The sequence below is a fragment of the Homo sapiens genome, chromosome 1, assembly GCF_000001405.40.
Source record: "Homo sapiens chromosome 1, GRCh38.p14 Primary Assembly".
Taxonomy (NCBI): domain Eukaryota; kingdom Metazoa; phylum Chordata; class Mammalia; order Primates; family Hominidae; genus Homo; species Homo sapiens.
This window is the reverse complement of record NC_000001.11, coordinates 234,827,168-234,848,028: the sequence shown is the minus strand read 5'-3', so window position 1 is coordinate 234,848,028 and position 20,861 is coordinate 234,827,168. Positions and strand designations below refer to the sequence as shown.

The 20,861-nt window shown below is 43.8% G+C and overlaps 1 long non-coding RNA gene and 1 pseudogene across 2 annotated transcripts in view, besides 2 other annotated features; one reads left to right on the top strand and one right to left on the bottom strand.

Moving 5' to 3' along the window:
- The window catches only part of LOC107985365 (uncharacterized), a 63,991-nt gene that overhangs the window by 28,798 nt on the left and 14,332 nt on the right, over window positions 1-20,861 (top strand). The gene's annotated exons all lie outside the window — the stretch shown is intronic.
- Window positions 4,866-4,985: an enhancer, noted in NCBI's record as "active region_2771". NCBI's record gives its function as "activates an Ori minimal core promoter by ATAC-STARR-seq in GM12878 lymphoblastoid cells {active_cell/tissue: GM12878}" and the evidence as "EXISTENCE:reporter gene assay evidence [ECO:0000049][PMID:35858748]".
- Window positions 5,785-5,854: an enhancer, noted in NCBI's record as "active region_2770". NCBI's record gives its function as "activates an Ori minimal core promoter by ATAC-STARR-seq in GM12878 lymphoblastoid cells {active_cell/tissue: GM12878}" and the evidence as "EXISTENCE:reporter gene assay evidence [ECO:0000049][PMID:35858748]".
- RNY4P16 (RNY4 pseudogene 16) lies at window positions 9,959-10,056 on the bottom strand (annotated as a pseudogene).

The following is a 20,861-nucleotide window of genomic DNA, read 5'->3' as shown; positions in this document are numbered from 1 at the left end:
CCTTTTTTTAGTACCTATGCTGCTAAAGGGAGCACTATCTACTCCTCTCTTATGTTCAGATCCTTGGTACATGGTGCAAATCACCTGGCTTAACAGATGTTGGCATTTTGGTGACTTTCTCATTCCTTCTTGGGACCATTCTTGCCGGTGCTTGGCTCATCCTTCCCTTCTCATGTACAAAGGACTTGAACACTTTCAGTGGACAAAGTTTATCAAATATGTTTGCATAAACCCCTCTTTCTGTCTTTCAAGCTACAAGACCTAGGTTTCTCTGCTTAACATTTGCTTCATTTTACTAAGCCTGACCACACATTGTATAGAATGCGATTTCCTTGTTTCTGAGTGATACCAGGTCTTCAGGGCCTACATACAAGGCTGGCTACATAATTTGTAAGGCCCAGTGAGAAACAGAACTTCAGAGCTCCTTGTTAAAACATTATTAAGAATTTCAAGCTTGTGACAACAGAGCATCAGACCAAGAGCGGCACCCTGTGTAACTGCCCAAGTCACACCTCCATGGATCCAGCTCTTCATACATGTATAACTTCATATGAGTAACACTAGGCATGATCTGCAACTTAGCCTTAGTTTGTTTCTTTACTATTTTTAGTTTGCAGACTAAGATCATTGCTTATTTCTCAGTGCTTTGAAAATATCCCAGTGACTTCTGACTTCTATTGTTGTCACCGAAAAGTCTGCCATCCAAAAGAAACTATCAAGAGAGTAAATAGACAACCTATAGAATGGGAGAAAATATTTGCAAACTATGCATCTGACAAAGGTTTAATATCCAGCATCTATAAGGAACTTAAATTTATAAGACAAAAACAACCCTATTAAAAAGTGGGCAAAGAACATTAACAGACATTTTTCAAAAGAAGACACACATGCAGTCAACAAGCATATGAAAAAAACTCAACATCACTGGTCATTAGAGAAATGCAAATTGAAACCACAATGAGATACCATCTCATACTGGTCAGAATGGCTATTATCAAAAATAAACAAAAACAGATGCTGGCAAGGTTGCAGAGAAAAGGGAACACTTATACACTGTTGGTAGGAGCGTAAATTAGTTCAACCACTGTGGAAAGCAGTATGGCAATTCCTCAAAGAGCTAAAAACAGAACTACCATTTGACCCAGGAGTCCCATTACTGGGTATATATCTAGAGGAATATAAATCATTCTACAGTAAAGACACATGCACGTGAATGTTCATTGCAGCACTATTCACAATAGCAAAGATGTGGAATCAACCTAAATGCCCGTCAATGACAGATTGAATAAGGAAAATGTGGTATACATACATCATATAGTACTATGCAGCCATAAAAAAGGAATGAGATCTTGTCCTTTGTGGGACCATGAATGGAGCTGGAGGCTATTATCCTAAGCAAACTAATGCAAGAACAGAAAACCAAATGCCACACATTCTCACATGTAAGTGGGAGCTAAATGATGAGAACTCATGAACACAAAGAAGGGAATAACAGACACTGGGGTCTACCTGAAGGTGGAGGGTGGGAGGAGGGAGAGGAGCAGAAAAGATAACTAGTGGATACTGGGCTTGATACCTGGGTGATGAAATAGTCTGTACAACAAACCCCCGTGACACAAATTTCCCTATATAACGAACCTTCACATGTACCCCTGAACCTAAAGTAAAAGTTTTTTTTTTTTTTTAAGTCTGCTGTCAAACTGTTGTTTCTTTGAAAGTAATCTTTTCTTTTTTTTTTCCCAATTGATTTTGCCCTTTGGCAGCTTTTCCTTATAATGCCTCTAGATTTTTATATCTCGTTTTGAACTAATTATGCTACCTGAATCTGATTTTCATCTTGTTCTAGAAAACTGTCAGACACTATCTTAAAATATTGCCTCTTACCCCATTCTTTCTTTCTGGAGCTCCTATGTAATGCATGCTAGAGCTTCTCATTTCATCTTCCATGTATTTAAGTTCTCTTTCATGTAAGAAATATCTTTATCTTTCTGTGTTGCATTCTAGGTAATTTGTTTCCAAACCACTTCCTGGATGATCAATTCTCTCTTTGGCAATCTTTGCCCCGTTTATTAAGTTTTTATTTTTAATGTTACACATTTCATTTCTAGAGGTAACATATGGTACTTTTTCAAATATGCCTGGTCTTTTAAATTTATTTTCTCAAAATTTTGATTTCTCCTTTTACATTTCAGTTATGTTAACAACAATTCATATCCTCCTTCTGATAGTTCTATTAGCTGATGTTCTGGGGGTTCTGGGGACTCATTACCTGTGCCGCCCGTTGTGTCTGTTTATTCTTGTTTGTAGTGCACTCTTGCTCATGTCTCTAAACGCATTTTGTAATTTTCGATTGTGAGCTTCTATTTAAAAGAATGTGCTCACTATGGGAATCTTGTGTGGCAGAGGTTGAAGATTGGTTTCTATAGAGAAGTTTTTTATTTGTTTTGGCAAGTGCTCTTGTGATATTGGGACTCCTTTTATGTTAATTAATTGACGTAGCTTTCCTAGACCATACAGGTGAGTAAACTTAAGCTCCAAACCCATGTGAAGTGTGGTCTGTGGTTATGAAACTTGAGGTGACCTTGTTTTCCCTCAGCGGATCTCCCACTGCTCAGGCAGCCAAGTGTCAGCACTTTTTCTTGTGCTCAGACCTTCTTTATACTCAGTCTCTGGGATTTCCTTCACTCATTTCAGCTGTGCTTTTAACACCACACTTATTATTTTTCTACAGCATATTTAGGCGTTTCTGTGGCCAGAAGCTTTTCAGATTCTCCTCTAAGATATTGCCAAAATGATAGTTCTTGTCATCCTGAATTTCTGAACACAGAAAAAGTTTTCCCACGATGATTACAGATTTTGAGATCTCTCTAGATACTAGGGACATCTTTAGAAAGCAGGCCAAGAGCCTTGACCAAACTTACGGCAATTCTATTGTACTGATCAGAAAATATCACTTACTTTTGCATGTAGATTTTATTTAGATGAGAGTTAGGTTTTGTTTTGCAAAGAAAATAGCTAATGTATTCTTTGCTAAGAATGACGGTGATACACAGCGGTTGGATTTATTTAATAAAATGTGAGATGTTAAGAAAAAAATCTTAGGAATTTGAAGACACTGAGAGTGTTCAATGCAAAAAAAAAAAAAAAAAAGGCAGAGAGAGAGGGTGTTTCAGTTGCCTGCACCATACATACTCGCTGGTTCCGAATAATGCAAGGATTTCTCTCTTCTGTTCCGGTCTTTTGATGTTGAGTTTCCTGCCCCTTAAATATCTGCTTTACCAGAAAATGAGAAAGTCTTCACCCAAAAAAACAGCACAGAAGTGAAGCCAAGTGACTGTAAAAGGTTTCATAGCCTGGTCAACAGGGAGGCAGCTGGCGATCACTTCCTGCCTCACCCTGGAGGAAGGAGCTACTAAGGAAAGGGACGTCTAAGCTGAAACAACTTCAGGTGGTTCCTGTCCCTCTCTAGAGACTTTAAAGTCTCACTGCATGGAATGCCCTTGATATCCAGACTGGGAAAATCTAAGCCTGTGGACCAGGAAGAAAAGTCATTCATTTATTCATTCGTTTATCACTCCTACTACTCATGAGAGTCAAGTGAGGGCTGTCTGGGGACTTAGGGTAGGAAACTTTCAATATGGCTAGATATATGCACTTAACTATTTCTTTTTCTTTTGGATTGACAGTCTTATTTACTCTGAATACAGGGCATTCATAATGCTCATTGTTGCTGCTACTATTCTGTGAACACATGTTTAGAAAAAAACGTGGTGCAACGGTATGGGAATTCTGAGTTCACTTGTTCATCCATTTTTTTCTTTAAATAACATTTATCCAGTGGTATGTTATATAGAGCTTTGTACTGGGTGGAGTGGGGCTAAAAAGATGAATGATAAATAGTTTCTACCCTTAGGAATCTCAGTCTAATACCATGTGGGGGATGGGGCAGTATATTTACAGAAAGAAATGCTACATGGGGCATATTTAACCCACAAATGATCTAACTGAAGAATCAGAATAAATATTTCCATACATTTTAATTGTGGTAAAATATACACAACATAAAATTTACCGTTTGAAGCTTTTTTTTTTTTTTTGTAGACAGAGTCTTGCTCTGTTGCCCAGGCTGGAGTGCAATGGCACGATCTTGGCTCACCACAACCTCTGCCTCCTGGGTTCAAGCGATTCTCCTGCCTCAGCCTCCTGAGTAGCGGGGATTACAGGCGTGCACCATCATGCCCAGCTAATTTTGCATTTTTGGTAGAGATGGGGTTTCTCCATGTTGGTTAGTCTGGTCTCAAACTTCTGATCTCAGGTGAACCGCCCACATCAGCCTCCCAAAGTGCTGGGATTACAGGCATGAGCCACTGCACCTGGCCTATTTGAAGCATTTTTAAGCGTACCATTTGGTGGCATTCATTAAGTACATTCACATTATGGTGCAAACATCACCATCATCCCGGAAGCCTTTGCATCTTTCCAAACTGAAACTGTACCCATTAAACACGAACTTCTCATTCCCCTCCCCCTAGTCCCTGGCACCCACCATTCTACTTTCTGTCTCTGTGACTTTGACTCCTCTAGGTGCCTCATACAAGTGGAATCATTCAGCAGTTGTCTTTTTGCATATTGCCTGTCCAAAACTTTTTGAATGGAAAGAAGTATGTTTTACAGAAACAGGAAAGTCCCAGCCTTGTCTCTGACTGCTTCACCCCTTGGTTCAGCCCAGTGAAAGCTGGTCAACTTTCCTTAATGCTCTGAGATCCGTAATAGCACAACCATTTTAGTATCTTTCTCTGAAGACTGCAACACGCTGTCATGATATTAGTCAACTCAAGTCAACTGACATTATTATAGTGCTTATGAGGCTGCTCCTGCCTGAAAGCCCTTCACTGCCTCCCTGGGGTGTGGGTGGAGGATGAGATAAGCAGCTCACAAGTGGGACAGAACCCTGGCTCTGCGGAAAGCCCAGCTGGCTGCCACGGGTGGCATGTTTCTCGGGGCTTCCTGTGTGAGCGCATAGACAGCCCTGCTAGTCCCTCAGCCCAGATGCCTGCCAGAAACCCAAGCCCTGAGGATGCCCCTCCAGATGTGTGCTGTGAACTGAGCTTTCTGAAATCCTTCTCCTGGGGCCAGACACTCATCAAAGCGCCAACTCTATCGCAGACTGCATTTGAGTCACCTGTTATGTTTGAGATCCGCCCTGTGTTGGGAGCTGAAACCTGTTGGCTGGTCTTGCTGGGGTTAGGGAAGGGCCTGAAGTCTGGAAGAGGACTAGGTCAAGTTTCCTGCTGTACTTCTGAGGTCCTGGACGTGAAGCCGAAATGCTGCAGCTCACAGCCAGTGTGGTCAGCCGAATGGGAGTCAGCTCTGGGCGGCTTATTGCCATGAACAAAGGAGCTCAGTTGCTGGGGTTCACCTCCTATCCCATCAGAATACAAGCTGCACTGGGGCTAGATGTCCACGGCTGTATCCTCAGCACCTAGAAGAGAGTCTGGGACCAAGTGTGAACATCTATAAACCGGAGGAAACATCTGTTGGCAGGATATTTAGTATAGCAATATCTTTGGATAAAATAATCAACAAACAAAATTATGTTGTTGGAAACCAGAAAACGACACCACTGATGAATGTACTTAGGCTACTTAATCAAGAAATAGTCGCAATGATTCTACTTCTGTCTTCTTTTTTAAAAAAAATTTAATTAGTTGTTTTATTTTAGAATAGCATTACTGATTACCTTTCTTCCCTGGAAATTAACACATTTCGTAGAGACTTAAGGATGCATCAATGAAATACTTAGAATTGAAAGAGGAAATGAATTACTTGATTTCTCAGGATGTGTGTGTCTATTGGTGCTCTAGCACAGTTAAATGCTAATATTGCCACTGAAAACTGATGCAACTTTTGTGAAGCAACAGCTGTAACAGGGCCTCTGTGTAACACTTCCTTGTGTAGAATTAAAAAAAAAAAAGCTTAGGTTTTAGAAAATATCAGAAAAGCACCTCTTTATAGGCTTACCACATAAGTACATTGTTTTCATCCCCCAGTAGACTGCGATTGGCTTTGACTGGGGAGTTCCTCATTTGTCTCCGGGGTTGGGGCCCACTTCTGTTTTTTGACCACTGACCAGCTATGCTGTCTTCATAGAAATCAGGCAGTGGGCAGTGACCTGGTTCTTACTAACTCTTGTGATGCCTCACGCGATGTTATATCTGTCACCAGCACGCTCTCCTCTCCTGAGAGAGTGTTAGAAAATTGCGTGGTCTGGGAGTGCAGGGGTTAATGAACAGTTCGGAGATTAATGCTTCCTCTCCTTGTGGTCCCAGATGTCTTCGGGAATGCTTGAATCCTCTCCCTTTGCATCTTTTCCCTTATTTGTAGGGTTACCTGTCACATCCCTTTCGAACTTGCAGGGACCATGTCTGGACAAATTAGCCAAAGACTATACCTATGTTTGAAGCAAAATTTAATATTCCTCCAAAATTATGGCTTTCCAATTCTCCATGGCTCATGAAGAGGGCCCCTTACTCTTAGACAACAAATATTTCTGAGCACTGGCCGTGTTCCAGGCAGTCTGCTGAGATCTGGATCTGATGATGCAGTGGTAAATACACACAGACCCCACCTCTGCTCTTTCAAAGCCTATACCTGGTGAATGGCAGAAACAATATTTCTCCACGCCTTACACTCAATGAGTAACAAAGAGGAATCACAGTTATTGGCATAGCTCAAAAATTTTTTTTGTCAGATCCAGTTTTGCCAATCACTATGACAGGGCCAAATCTATAAAACATTGGGAGCTTTATAGGAGATAAAATATCCTCTAAAATGTAGAGAATTTTTATAGCCCAAATTCCTATCCAGAGTCTCCAGCCCCTTTGGGACTAGACAGCCCCCTCAAGATTCTCAGGGAGCTCATCACATTCCCCATTGGGCAGTGTGACTAGATAAGGGCCAAGGGCATGAGTCAGTGTGGGAAGTGGCCCCAGCTCAGCTCAGCCACTGTGGCAGGCAAGAAGGATGCCACGAACACCGCCAATGGCCTCAGGGAGGTGGGTGGGTTGGAAGTGTGGTGGGGGTCATGTTTGGTTATGTAAATATGACTCCAGGCAGAGCCAGTGCTGAGTTTGATGATGGAGGAGGATTGGAGGTAAAGCTAGAGCTCTCAGAGCCTTCCCTGGGATAGAGATTCCTGCTGACACTGCTGGCCATGATAGTCTGTCTGGGGAGCCATGCTCACCTTCAGCTCCTGTGCAGAGAAGGGTGGCTGGGGAGGTGTTGCATAGCTGGGGGCATGCTAGGTGCATTGATGCCACTTGTTTCTCCACTTGGCTTCAGTCCAGAGCCCCACTCTGGGCTGGTGGCTGGGTAAGACCATAGGTAAACAGTAGACTTATAGTATGGTTTGGGGGCTATTTTGCTATGATTATGTGGGCACGGGCTTTAAAGACTAATGGCCCTGGTGTCTTCATGCTACTCTGTATGCTTTGAAACCTAATGGCCTTCTGGCACTGCCTTTCAGTTGTTGCATGACTTAGGGTAACACTAGTAGCAGTAACAAATAAATGCTCAAATTTCAGAGCCTTTCCACTGATGCTTATGTCTCATTCAAGTCAGTGGGTGGCTTCCCTCCAGGTGGTAACTCAGAGATCCAGGCTCCTTCCAGGATGTGACTCTGCCATCTCCTAAGGCCCTGGAGAATTCTGCGTGGAGGTGGAAGGTGACAGAGAGGGCATGTCTTACCACCTTAGCCCAGAGTGATACATATCACTTCTAGTCATGTGTTGCTGAGGTAAGGCAGTGGCCCCCAAACTTCTTGGGCACCAGACAATTTTTCCATGGACTGGGGTGGTGAGGGGGATGGTTTCAGGACGATTCAAGCACATTATATTTATTATATTTATTGTGCACTTTATTTCTATTATGATTACATTATAATACATAATGAAATAGTTACACAACTCACCATAATGTAGAGTTAGTGGGAGCCCTGAGCTTGTTTTTCTGCAACTAGATGGTCCCATCTGGGGGTGATGGGAGACAGTGAGAGATCATCAGGCATTAGATTCTCATAAGGAGCAACCTGGATCCCTCACATGCGCAGTTCACAATAGGGTTCACTCTCCTGTGAGAATGTAATGCTGCTGCTGATCTGACAGGAGGCAGAGCTTAGGTGGTAATGCGAGCCATGGGGAGTGGCTGTAAATACCAATGAAGCTTCACTTGCTCCCCTGCTGCTCACCTCCTGCTGTGTGGTCTAGTTCCTAACAAGCCAAGGACTGGTACCAGTCTGTGGCTCTGGGTTTGGGGACCCCTGAGATAGGGGACCAGAATGTGTAATCTCACAATTTCTACACTATGGAAAGAGCCACGTGAGTGTTGCTGAACAGTTAGCTTCTCTGCCTTGATAATGGGGTAAACTTCCAAAGTCTCAGTTTCCTCATCTGTAAAACAGAGAAATAGAAGCTCTCACCAGCACCTCTGAGAGTTATTGTGAGGATCAGAGCTAATGTAGGTGATGTGACTAATCTAGTGCCGCCGTGGTGGACAGTCAACTCATGGCTGTGATTACTGCCAGCAAGAGGGGCTGTCTTATTTACAGCAAGGGGGATCTAGTCTCATCCTCTCCTCCAGCTCCTTTAAGTGCTCCAGATCCATGCCTGTGCTTCTGCCTACATAGGTTTTATAATGACCATTAAGCAATACGCATTCCGTATGATGATTATTATGTAAATCTAAGTATATTTCATGATTACTATGTAATATATATTATCTATTGTGATTATTATGTAAATGCAAGTGAGCATCTCACTCCAACATATGTTTCATGGACTAAATATTCCTGGGGCATTGACATAAGCTTTTAAATATTGCTCCATTGTTTGCTATCATTCAAAAAGGCTTTTGTTATAAAAGCAATAGAGGTCACTGCAAAAATTACGAAGGCACAGACAGCTATATAAACTGGAGCTTAAAATCTGCCTGTCTACCCTTGGGTCCTCCTACCCAGTGAGCCCTACTTGGATAAGTAATTTTCATGAACAGTTTTGATAAATCTTTCCAGAAATACTCTATGTTTACATACAAGCATATGTAAATGCTTTTATTTTGCACAAAAGCAAATCATGCTAAAATGTTATTCTGCAACTCCTTTTTTTCTTTTTCCCTATTTCCATGTTTGGTCTAACTCATACTGTTTAATAGCCACACAGTATCCCATCGTGGGAATGAGCTACAGTTTATTAAACTAGAGGTGAGAGCTTTTGTGGTGAGTAGAAAGGCATCAGATTCTTCTTTCTTCCATGTGAGCAGATGGCTCACTCTCCAAAGTTACTTTCCCACCAGGTACCCCGAAAATCGCAGGCCCATATGGGTGCATCCAGAGTCCGTGTGCTTCTTGCCCCTCATTGTCCAGGCAGTGGACAAGCTTGATTCAAAAGCCCCTGCTTATTTTATCAGGGTTGAGGTCATGGGATGGAATAAAGGGTCAAAAGACTGCAGGAACCCCTTCTCTGTGCCTGTAGCCTCAAGCTCATCCAAAACAGCAAAAATATATTATACTTGTTGTCCTCCAGGGCACTAGGGCATGTGGTTCAACTTCAAAAATATAGGCCCTGAGCCTGTTGATTATAAAAGGAATCTCCTTCTGTTGCACAGTTTATTGTGGTTAACTCTTCTTCTTCCTTCTTCCTTCTTCTTTCCCCTCCCCCTGCCTCTTCCCTCCCCTCCCCTCCCCTCCTCTCCCCTCTCCTTCCCTCCCCTTTCCCTCCCCCTCCCCTCCCCTCCCCCTCCCATTCCCCTCCCCTCCCCCTCCCCCTCCTCTCCTACCCCGCCCCCCTCCTCCTCCTCCTCCTCCTCCTCCTCCTCCTCCTCCTCCTCCTCCTCCTCCTCCTCCTCCTTCTTCTTCTTCTTCTTCTTCTTCTTCTTCTTCTTCTTCTTCTTCTTCTTCTTCTTCCCAGTCAAATGTAGCAGTGGCTGAGTTGGGGGTTGAACACCAACTTTAGTGACACTAATCTTAATAAGTTCTGATAACCCACTACCATTGGACCACCCCATTTGGGTTAAGACTTCTTAATGTGGTAAGAAACCAGGTAGATCTTGCAACATTGCTGAGGTCCCAGACTGTCAGTAAGTCTACTGGGGCTGTGGAAATGATTTTGTGTACCACATCACTGGCCCAAGCCATGGGAACCCATCTGGCTTCATCCCTAAGAGTAGTATCTCCCAACTTTTAGCAATTCATGTGCTATCTTCTGATTTCATTTTGCATCTTTGCATGCCACTTTCATCACTTTTATTTAGTACTTATACTCTTGCACAATTCCACTTATAAACTTATAACATATTTTAGATATATCCTAATTCTAAGCAACTTGGAGTCACAGGTTGGCTACGCTAGCTACGATTTTCTTAATGCATAATACACATTACCATAAATACAGCTATTACTAAAAATTTATTCATCTATGTGCCTCTTAAAATCCTTGCCCATATCATACTTTGGGAATTGCCACCCTACTACCTTCAAGGAAGATGTATCCCTTTGAACCATTTAACAGGAGACCCTTTAGAAATCTTTAAAACACCCAGGATTTGTGCTATGAGAGAGCAATCTCTGATTTTTTTCTCCTTCACCAGCACAGGATGGTATTTTTGGCCACAATAATCTTCACGGAGTGTTTTTCTCTTTTTCTGGAAAGAAAATAAATGCCTTCATTCCCAATTACCACTGAGGATAAGTAGTAAAGAGTGAGGAAGGGCCCAGGGGCTCCTACACCAGCAGATGCAGGGATCTTTTTATTGCTGAGCCAGGCTCGCATTAGTCCTATTTTTAGACTTTCGGGTTGACTTGGTGAATTTGGCCTCCTTTTCAACAGATCATATTAATGAACTGCAGATGGGTCCATAATTGATTCCTTTCTATCACAATTATTTCACAGGCAGGCAAATGTACTCAATGTCTCCTTGGTGAGTAGTTACCTAGTTTCTAAAACCCCTGCTAGGTCTGGGAACAGGTTTTCTTTTTGGCTTGGACGTCAGAGGACAGATTATTCAAGATGGATTCACTGAAGTACTTGGACGCACACTCAGTGTCCTTGGCAGTTATAGTAGGAATTTGGAGATCTTGGTGGCTCTGCGTTCAGCATCGAGAGATGCTGATATTTATTATTTTTGTGGATGGAGGCAAGGGCTATATTACTGAGTGACATTTAGCAACATCTCCATCACGTATCAACATACTCACAAGTGCTGTTATTCTGGTGGTCTATCCAAATACACCCTCTCCTTTCTTGGCCACACCTTGAAGTATTGCCATGTGTCTGGGGGCCCTGAAGGAACTTTTATTTTACGTTCACTGGACTTTCCCTTAAGATGCTCTCGATTTCCCCTTTTGCCCTATGTGAAATCTCAGGCCAGCTCGTTTAGCGCTACCAAGCACTGCAGGGAGTGGTGGTGGTGGGTTAGTATTGTGTAAAATAATGGGAACATGCATTTACATACACAACAATGCAAGCCACTGTCCATCCAGACCTCAGAGAGCCACAGATGCTGTTGACAAAGAATTGTTGCCCTCCTTATACTGCAGAGGAAGTGGCTGGGTCAGGCTGGGCATTTACTCACTTGAGTAATACAGAGAACCAAATGGAGTGATAGGAAGAGAAGACAGCATTTTCCCGATGTTGAGGCTCCAAATGAACATCTGTCCATTTTCTGATGAGTTGGTGGACTCCGGACTCTGGCGAGTATGTTAAATCTGTTTGGGTAGATCTAAATCTTGCCAGGAATACAGCTGGGATTGATCCACATTCTCCAACTTGGTGCATTTTCCAGGAAGCCAGTTTTTCCTCTGGAGCAAAAGTCTCACTGCCACCCAGAATGCATGTGATCAACTCCTTTCCACATCAGCCTTTTTGTACAAGGAAACAATTTCTGTGTTTCTCTAGATAAAAATATAATTTGAAAGCCATAGCTTCTGTATAAATTATTGCAACTTCATTTTCAGGTGAGAAAAATTTTACTGTCACTAAACAGTACTGGGTTATTTGAGCTCCTATGCATGGTTGTAGATGACGGACAGTTACTTCTATTATGTCCATGTATGCTGTTCAACAACGATATTGAACTCAGGTAATTTCAACCTTTTGGAGTTAAGAACTCAGGTAGCCCAAATATGTTCTGGGATATCCTTCAGAAAGGGCCAAAACTCTGCGGTCTCACAATTCACTTTATCTCTTACAACAACTCCAAACTGACCGATTGCACAAAGCACGGTAGTAATGTGTCTTGCTGTATTGGAGATGAAAAGACAAATGGGCAGTGCAGTCTGGGGTTGTCCTGGTCTGTGGGACAGTTCAGCCTGGCTGCCCTCTTCAGGGGTGGCGGAGATGCAGGTGGAATTTCCAGCCATCTCCCTGCTTCTTGATCATGGCTTCCAAGCCCACTTATGTTGGTCTTCATCATTATAGAGTCTTTTTCCAAAGGAAATGCCAGGCTCTACCAAGAAGTGAATGGCTATTTTCATTCTCCCTGAATTAGATTATTGGTGTCCCCAGCAGTTAAGTGTCAAGTGACTTTTGGACTCATGGTCATCAGGATATTGTGTTTGCTTACCTTAAGTCAGTCCAGGCACTAGCATCTCTAAAGTAGTCCTACAATAAGACTTCAGGCAAGCCACTTGGCCACCCTGGGGACCCACTTTCATCATCTCTAAAGGATGATGCTTACTCGGCTAACGTTCTGTGGTTTGGTCTAGTTAAGGGTTTCTAATCTTTGAAGATAAAAGAGCTTATTATTTTTCTAGCACCTGATTTTGAGAGCTTACTGGCTTGAGAATTATCATTGACCTTAGTAGACCTAAGACAATACTAGTTAAGAGAAAATGGGTAGGAGATAGTGAGGATGGGCTTTAATTATTGATTTATAAATACTTAATGATAGGCTCAATTCCTACCATTTATCCTTAATTTATTTTACAGCTCACTATTGGCTTCCATTTATTTGAAGTGAACGACGATGTCCCTCTATTTGAAAAGACCTTTCTTCCACACCTATCCTTCCTTCAACCTGCTGTTGGAATCAGGTCCCTTAACTACAGAGAATTCAATGGTACCCCAATCCCATACACGTCAAACTTTGATTAAAGAATGTCTTACTCTGACCAAGGATCTCAGAGCCCCCAGATGAACCTCAAGACATGGTTGGCCATTTTTCTTTACCATTTGTGGGATAAAAAAGCTGAAAATAGCCAGGAGCGGTGGCTCCCACCTGTAATTCCAGCACTTTGGAAGGCTGAGGCAGGTGGATCGTGTGAGCTCAGACATTCGAGATCAGCCTGGGCAACATGGTGCAACCCTGTTTCTATAACAAGTACAAACATAAGCCAGGCATGGTGGCATGTGCCTTTAGTCCCAGCTACTTGGGAGGCTGAAGTGGGAGGATTGCTTGAGCCTGGGGGTTTGAGGCTGCTGTGAGCTGTTTTTAGGCCACTGCACTCCAGCCAGGGAGACAAAGCAAGACCTTGTCAAGAAAAAAAAAAAAAAAAGAGACCTGGTTTGGTGGCTCACACATGTAATCCCAGTGTTTTGAGAGGCTGAGGTGTGAGGATCCCTCGAGCCCAGGAGTTTGAGACTAGCCTAGGCAACATAGCAAGACCCCATCTGTGTTATTAAAAAAGAAGAAGAAGAAGAAAAAGCCTAAGGGTAAGTGAGCAAAGGGCCAAAGGCTTCTGGGTTTGTGGACTCTGCACTTGGAAGACTGAAATGGGCTTTGCAGATTAGGATCAGCATTCAAAATTGCTTCTAGAAGTTTCTGAGTAGGTAGAAATTAGGAAGAGAGGCTTGCAGAAGTCTGAGTCAACTAGACTGAGGTCAGAATCCCAGCTTGACCTCTTATTAGCTGTTTGACATTAGGTAAATTTCTTACATTTACTTGAGCCTCAGTTTCTTCATCTGAAGACTGGGACATGATCATGCCTGTCTCATTTGTTGTTGTCAGCCAAAATGAGATAAAGTATGAAAATGCGCTTTGCACAATGGCTGGAGTATTATCAGAATGCTAAAATATTCCCAGGTGCTGTGGTCTGAATGTCTGTGTCTCCTCTCCAAAATTCCCATGTTGAAAGCTAACCCTGATGTGATGGTTGGTATTAGGAAGTGAAGTCTTTGGGAGGTGATGAGGTCATGAGGGTGGAGCCCTCACGGAGGTGATTAGTGCCCTCATAAGTAAGGGGCTAGTGAGGACGAAGCAGGAAGCAGGCTGTCTGGAAGAGGCCACTCCAGAACCCGACCATACTGGCACCCTCATCTCAGACTTCTGGTCTCCAGAACTGTGGGAAAGATTTGTTATTTATAAGCTAGAAGCTTCCAGAGCTGTAAAAAACAAATGTCTGTTATTTATAAGATACAGTCTATGGTATTTTGTTATCTCAGCCCAAATGGACTAAGACAACCAGTAAATGTTAGTTCATTCCCCTCTTTGCATGCAAAGGGAAAACTGCTTGACCATGACTTCACATCAAGAGCTGTGTCCACTCTTAGTAGGTCCATATGGCAAGCTTTGTTTGGGTAGAGACCAGCAGAACTAAAACAGCACCCTGTCTCTGAAAATAGTTATTCAGATCTAAAGACGCTACCCCAGAGCCATGCTGCTTTATAGCCCCTGACCAGTCAACATCCTGATTACGGTGGTGTTAGGGGCCTGACCTTGATCTACTTTTCCTGTGGTCAGGAGAGGTAGACTGAACTGTCCCCAATGTGCCCATGGGAGCTGTCAAAACAAAGTTCAGAGAATAGGCTTGGTCCTTGAACACTCTCTCTGTGCACCTCCTGTATCTGTAGCAGTAATGATCAATCAACAAACAGATAAATACAATTACGATGTTTTCTATGTGCCAGGCACTATGTTACGTGCTCTCCATGTATTAATTCATTTCATCTTAACTCAACAGTAGGTGCTCAATAAGAATATGACAACTTACAAATTCCTACAGCAGCCCAAGTTCAGGGCTATTTCCACCCTCATCGCACAGATAAGGACACAGTCACATGTAATGCACTTTGTAGTTTACAAAGCATTGAAATAAAGCGCACATTTTCTGAGTATAAAAGCAGCACATAATAATAGTAGGAAACGTGGAAAATTAATAGAATTAAAGAAGAAAAACAGCAATCATCCTTAATCCCATCACTCACCGAAGCAGCTGCACCTGATTTTTAAATGGGCTCCCTGGATAGAGATGATGATGATATTGATATATTTTGTAGAAACAGAAACCAAAGCTTTGAGAGAGCAGTTGCACAGTGTGGAGCAGATCTGAGGCTCGAACCCAGCCTTTCCCCGTATTTCCCTACAACTCTGATGGTTGCAATTTTTGAAGTCTGTCTCGATTGGATTTGCAGGTTCCTCTTCCACTTTGGGGAAAGTTCTGAAGCACTCGGTCTGAGTGACTGGAGTGGAGCTGGTTTAACCTGTGATGGTAAATCACTCATTCTCAAGTTTCTGACCTGGGAGCCTTAGATCCCTGGGGTAGAAGGGTAGCCAGAGTTATTGCAAGAGGCCTGAGAATGCATGTGCCCTGCAAGCATTGCCTGTGTGGACTGAATAAGCAGCACTTCCCAGCCATGTGAGCTGTTATTTGTTGAATCTATGTAGATGGCTATAATTAATAAAATGCATGTTTATTCAAAAGCATGGCTAAATTCATTATAGACTTTTGTCATGTATTTTCTTAATCAAGAAATATTAAACATACAACCACTATCACATGACAGTCTGCCATATTTTGGGGGTTTCAAAAGGATTCACAAATATGAGAATACAGGTGCTGCTACTAAAGAGGAAAGCCAAGGAAAGCTGAGGCTGCATCCAGGGCTTGTGCAGAGCAAGGGGACAGTAGAAATGGGGATGGGCGTCTCTCTGGAGGGACTTGGAAGCAGCCACTCATTTAGTAAGCTCCACGGTGTGGTATCGTGTTAATGAAATACTCACTTAGTTTGTTAATTTTTAAAATGGTTTTTAAAAAATCTGAATCCACTTCATGTTGCATAGACCTAGTCTGAGTTTGGAAGGGTAGCCCAATAGAAATGAAGGTGCGGACTTATTTTATGGCCCTAGTCTTTCATGGAAAAAGAGTGATATTGCCTTGTGTGATTCTGGGAAGCAGCCTCCCACGTCCCTTCTTTGGGCGAGTGAAGAGTTCAATCTAGGTGCATACTGGGGCACCATGCCTGCTTCACACCACCTCTCACCTGTCACCTGGGACCCTTCCTCTCTGTCTTGTGGTTTATGGTCCCCTGCCCATTTTCTCTGCCAGATTTTGGGCTTTGTGGGTCCAGGACTATGCCTGCTTTTTTTTGGGGGGGGCGGGGCAGTGTTTTGCTCCGTTCCCCAGGCTGGAGTGCAGTGATGCGATCATAGCTCACTGCAGCCCTGACTTCCCAGGCTCAATTGATCCTCCCACCTCAGTCTCCTGAATAGCTGAAACCTGGCTAACTTTTTTTATTTTTTGAAAAAACTGGGTCTTGCTATGTTGCCCATGCTGGTCTTGAACTCCTGGCCTCAGGTGATCTGCCCACCTCGGTGGCCGTAAGTGCTGGGATTGTAGGCATGAGCCACCACACCTGGCCCTACATCTGCCTTGTTAACAGCCTTATCTCCAAGATCCAGCATAGAATGTATTGAAAAATATTTGTTGAACAAATAAGTCACTGACTGGATGAATACATGAATAGTTAGGTGTGTCTTTAATTTTACAAAGTAGAGATGAAAATGTTTGAAGGAGATTTAAAAAGTACAGATCACTATTCAATATGCCTTTTTATTTTTTCTCCTGCATGAATTTCTAGGTCAGAGTGTTGAATGGAAAACCCATTTTTCCCCTTGATTATAGAAACAATATATGCTTGTTCTAAAAACAAAACAAAATGAAAAAGATAAGGAAAAAGCTGGCTGTCCCTCCTAATCGCGTCTCCGTGCACCTCTGGAGCACGCCCTCCTGGTTCTCCTGAGTGTGTTATGTGTAAGTATCCATTGCCCTCGCCATGGAGCCATCCTTTGCCTTCCGCTGTGCCTGGGAGGCTGACCCCCTCGGGGAATTACCCAGGTTCCTTTGGCCCCTGGCTTCCTGTGAGTTCAGCTGATGAGAGGCACCTGCAGGAGTCAAGCCTGTGGGCAGAGAGAGAAATCCTGAGACAGCCGCTCCCTGTGTCCACGTTCGTCTCTGTGTCTGCACTTGTCTCTCTGTCCGTGCTCATCTCTGAGGCTGCTTGTCCTTCCTGGCTTCAGTTTCCACCACCGCCCCCCACCCTGCATGGTTCCAGTCCTAGCCAGGCCCCAGAAACTCTCTCCACCTGCTTTGTTCTTCATGGGTATGGGGTCCTGGGAGCCCCGCCTTGCTAGCCTGGGTGTCACCTTCCTGTCTGTTCACTTCACTCTGCACACAGCTCTTGAAGGGGTCCCTTCACTAAAGCTTCTTCCTATGGACCCTATTTGATACATTCTGCTTTTAGCCAGGACCCTGATTGCAACAAGATGCATCTATAGTCACATAATCAGAGTTGTCCTATATATTCTATTTTATAATCTGCTTTTTAAAGTTAACTATACACTATTATAGGACTCTTTTAAATCCAGCAAATATAACTACAGGTCCTCATTATTTTACTTGTTAAGATTTTCAACAGGATTTAATGAAATCCCACAAATATTGATTGAGCACCTATCATGTACAGGATGTAGTCCCGCCCTTAGGCGGGGTACAGAGCCACGTGGGCATTAAGACAGATGTGGAAATTATGTGGATGGAAAATACAAGGTGTCATCAGGGAGATACTAGCTAAGAACCATGGAGTTCAAAGGATAGAGAGAGAGAGAGAAAGAGAGATAATGGAGGCATCAAGCAAGGCTTCCTGCAGGAGGTATCGTCTGTGATACACCAGGAGGGTGTGGAAGACTTAAAACAAAGCGACCTGGAGCAGGAAGACATCCCAGGCAGAGATGGAAGAACCAGCACCTGGAGCTGAAAACCTATGGTTGTTTGATTAGTGAAGAGTTGACTTTCTTCCATTGTCCTTTATTCATCTCCTTGAATGCAGTTTTCTGGAATCAATACCGTTTTTCTGTTACCTCTCTAGATTATAATCTGTGGGAGGCCAGGGACAATTCCTTCACATCTTGCTGTAAACCTCCCAGCGAGTCTATGGTAGGGATTCCAAGGACAGGTTTGTTGAGTGAATTTGAATGGCCAACCTATGGCAGGCATGGAGATTTGTTGCCATCTTGGGGTAGGTGTTGAGGGCCAGGCTGAGTGGTTTGTGGGAAACTCTCTGAACCTGGTTCCTTCTGATGATGTCCCCTCTCTCTTTTCAAAGACTTCCTGCTCTTTCAGGCTGAGATGGAATCATAGACGTGAAAATGATTTGACGACAGGGAGGCTATCTCCAGAGAAAATGGGTCCCTTTTTCCTATCAATTCTTCTGAGTGTGGATCGGGAGTGGGAAGGCCACCCCTCTTCATGGAAATGATTTAGGAGGAAACTCAGATGCTCTGGTTTCATGGCTGGTGTTCACTGGGGAATCCAACAGCAAATGGTTCTGCAGGATCAGGCTGGTCTTTGAGACAGAGGGTAAAACAAGAACTGAGTTGAGCTCTTCTACCAAAATTAAAAGTTCAGGGAGCCCTTGTTTTCCTGCTGCCCCTCCCTCTCCTCTGGCCAACCCAAGGACAGCCAGCCAGAGACCACCAACTTTCACGTCGAACTCCTCCTTTCTCTCTTGCCCTCCACATCCTACCTATTTCATTGTGCTTGGTGGCTCAGGGTCCTGGCGGTTGGGCAAGGGATTATGGCAGAGTTTGGGATACCTGTACAGCACTCGCGTGTTTAGTAACTAGGTACAGCTGCTGATGGTGCAGCAGCACCAACAACACGGAAGCAGAAGAGGGTATGCCCAGGCATGCACGTATGCTCCGCCGCACACTGACCGGGTACATGCCTTTGCCATTGGGCAGCTTCCTGCTGTTAGGTTTAGTGTCCCCTCTGTAAACTGGAGATGGGAACATCTAGCGACCCTCACAGTGTTACTGTGCAAACAAGGGAGAGAAAAGGCAAGTGGAAGCGTGGAGGACAACACTCCACATGGAGACTCAGCAGATGTTATTATTTTTCTCCTTACACACAAGTACTCTATGTTTTAAAATTCCAAACTCCTGTGGGAATGAAATGTGTTTCTTTGTGAATGGGTATCTGTTACTGTCACATGCCGCGCAAATTCTCATGGAGGTAGGGATAGCAGACATTCAATTTGGGAAGAGGTGTTATTGTTGGGGAGAAATCAGGTTTATGTAGCATTTATTTATTACTCATTCATTTATTCATTTATTTGAGACAGGGTCTTCCTGCTCTGTTGCCCAGGCTGGAGAGCAGTGGCGCCATCCTAGCTCACTGCAGCCTTGACCTCCCGGCTCAACTGATCGTCCCACGTCAGTCTCTAGGGTAGCTGAGCTTATACGTGCATGCAACCATGCCAGGCTATCTGGCTTTCAAAGCAGGTCTATGGAGACTTGCTCTGATGCTATCCCCAGTTTCTAAAAGTAAAATTAAAATGAAGAAAGGAAAAAAAGAGAAAAGAAAATGAAAGTCTTGAGCATGTGGCTTCCATTTCTAAATCCAGTCATTCTCTTGTCTTGAGAGCTGCAAAATGTGCCATACGTGGTTGCATGATCCTCCCCAAGCCTGTGCCACGCTTTTCAGGGAGGAGGGCTGCTCTGAATGAAACCAACTGGCATGGATGGAACCCCAGGGTGTCCTATTATGACAGTCTTGTAAACATCTAGGAAAACCTGTTGGTGGCTGAAAAATTCAGATTCTAAATACTGTTTACTTCTGAATAATTTGTAATTCCTTTCCCAGCTCAAATAACTATAAACCTCTCCAAAGTGCTTTATAAACACTCATTAGAGTCTTACAAAAGTCTTTTGAGTGCCATATGATTATCTCCATTTGGCAAGTGAGTAAACTGAGTCACAAAAGTTGAAAGATCAGCTCAAAGTTATGCCAGGAGCAAAGGCAGGGCTGGGCTGGAACCCAGACTTCCCGGCTCCTTGGCTGGTGAACGGCTCCACAGAATATGCTGGAACTAGGCACGTCCAGGCTCCTGATCTTCTTGGGGCCCCATGGCGCCTCTTGCTTCTGCTAGCGACCCTTCATTCAGTTCACTGGGACTGGCCGAGGTCCCCTGGCTCCTGAGACCTCACCGCCCAAAAGCAAAGACTCCAACTCTGAATAGTCAACTGAGCCACATGCCTGACAACCACCTCTATCTTTTCCTCCTGAACAGGATTTAATTAAACCCCACAGCTGCATGTGGGGCTCTTCTCCAAAGCTTGCTTAGAAGGGCTCACAGAAGGATAAGCAGATAGAGCAGTCAAATTTGGGGTTTTCTGCTTTTCTGTTTGTTGATCAGCTGAAAATAACCAGGATTAGGTGAGTGAACTAAATATTTCCTGGTTTTTTGGCTGCCTTGCATTTGAACCCACTTCTTATGTTGGGACTCTGCCATCCACCAGGGAAACAGGATAGGCTGGCTACTAGCTCTCCTAGACCCCTGGCAGTGGGGTGTGGACACAGGATCCAAGCTTGGCCAGCTGGACCAAGTGAGCAGTGAGTGAGGAGAATCAGCCCAGGGACACTGGAGACTTGAGCAGAAGGTGGGCGGTGGAGGTCCCAGCATCCTGCACCTGTTAGCAGTGGTGCCATGGGGCTGGCAGGATGGCCAGGGTCTCAGGGAAGCACTTCATCATCAGATTGGACAGTGCAAGAGCTCAGCTGTGGTGAAAGCTGCCAACCCCTGGTATGCTTTGCT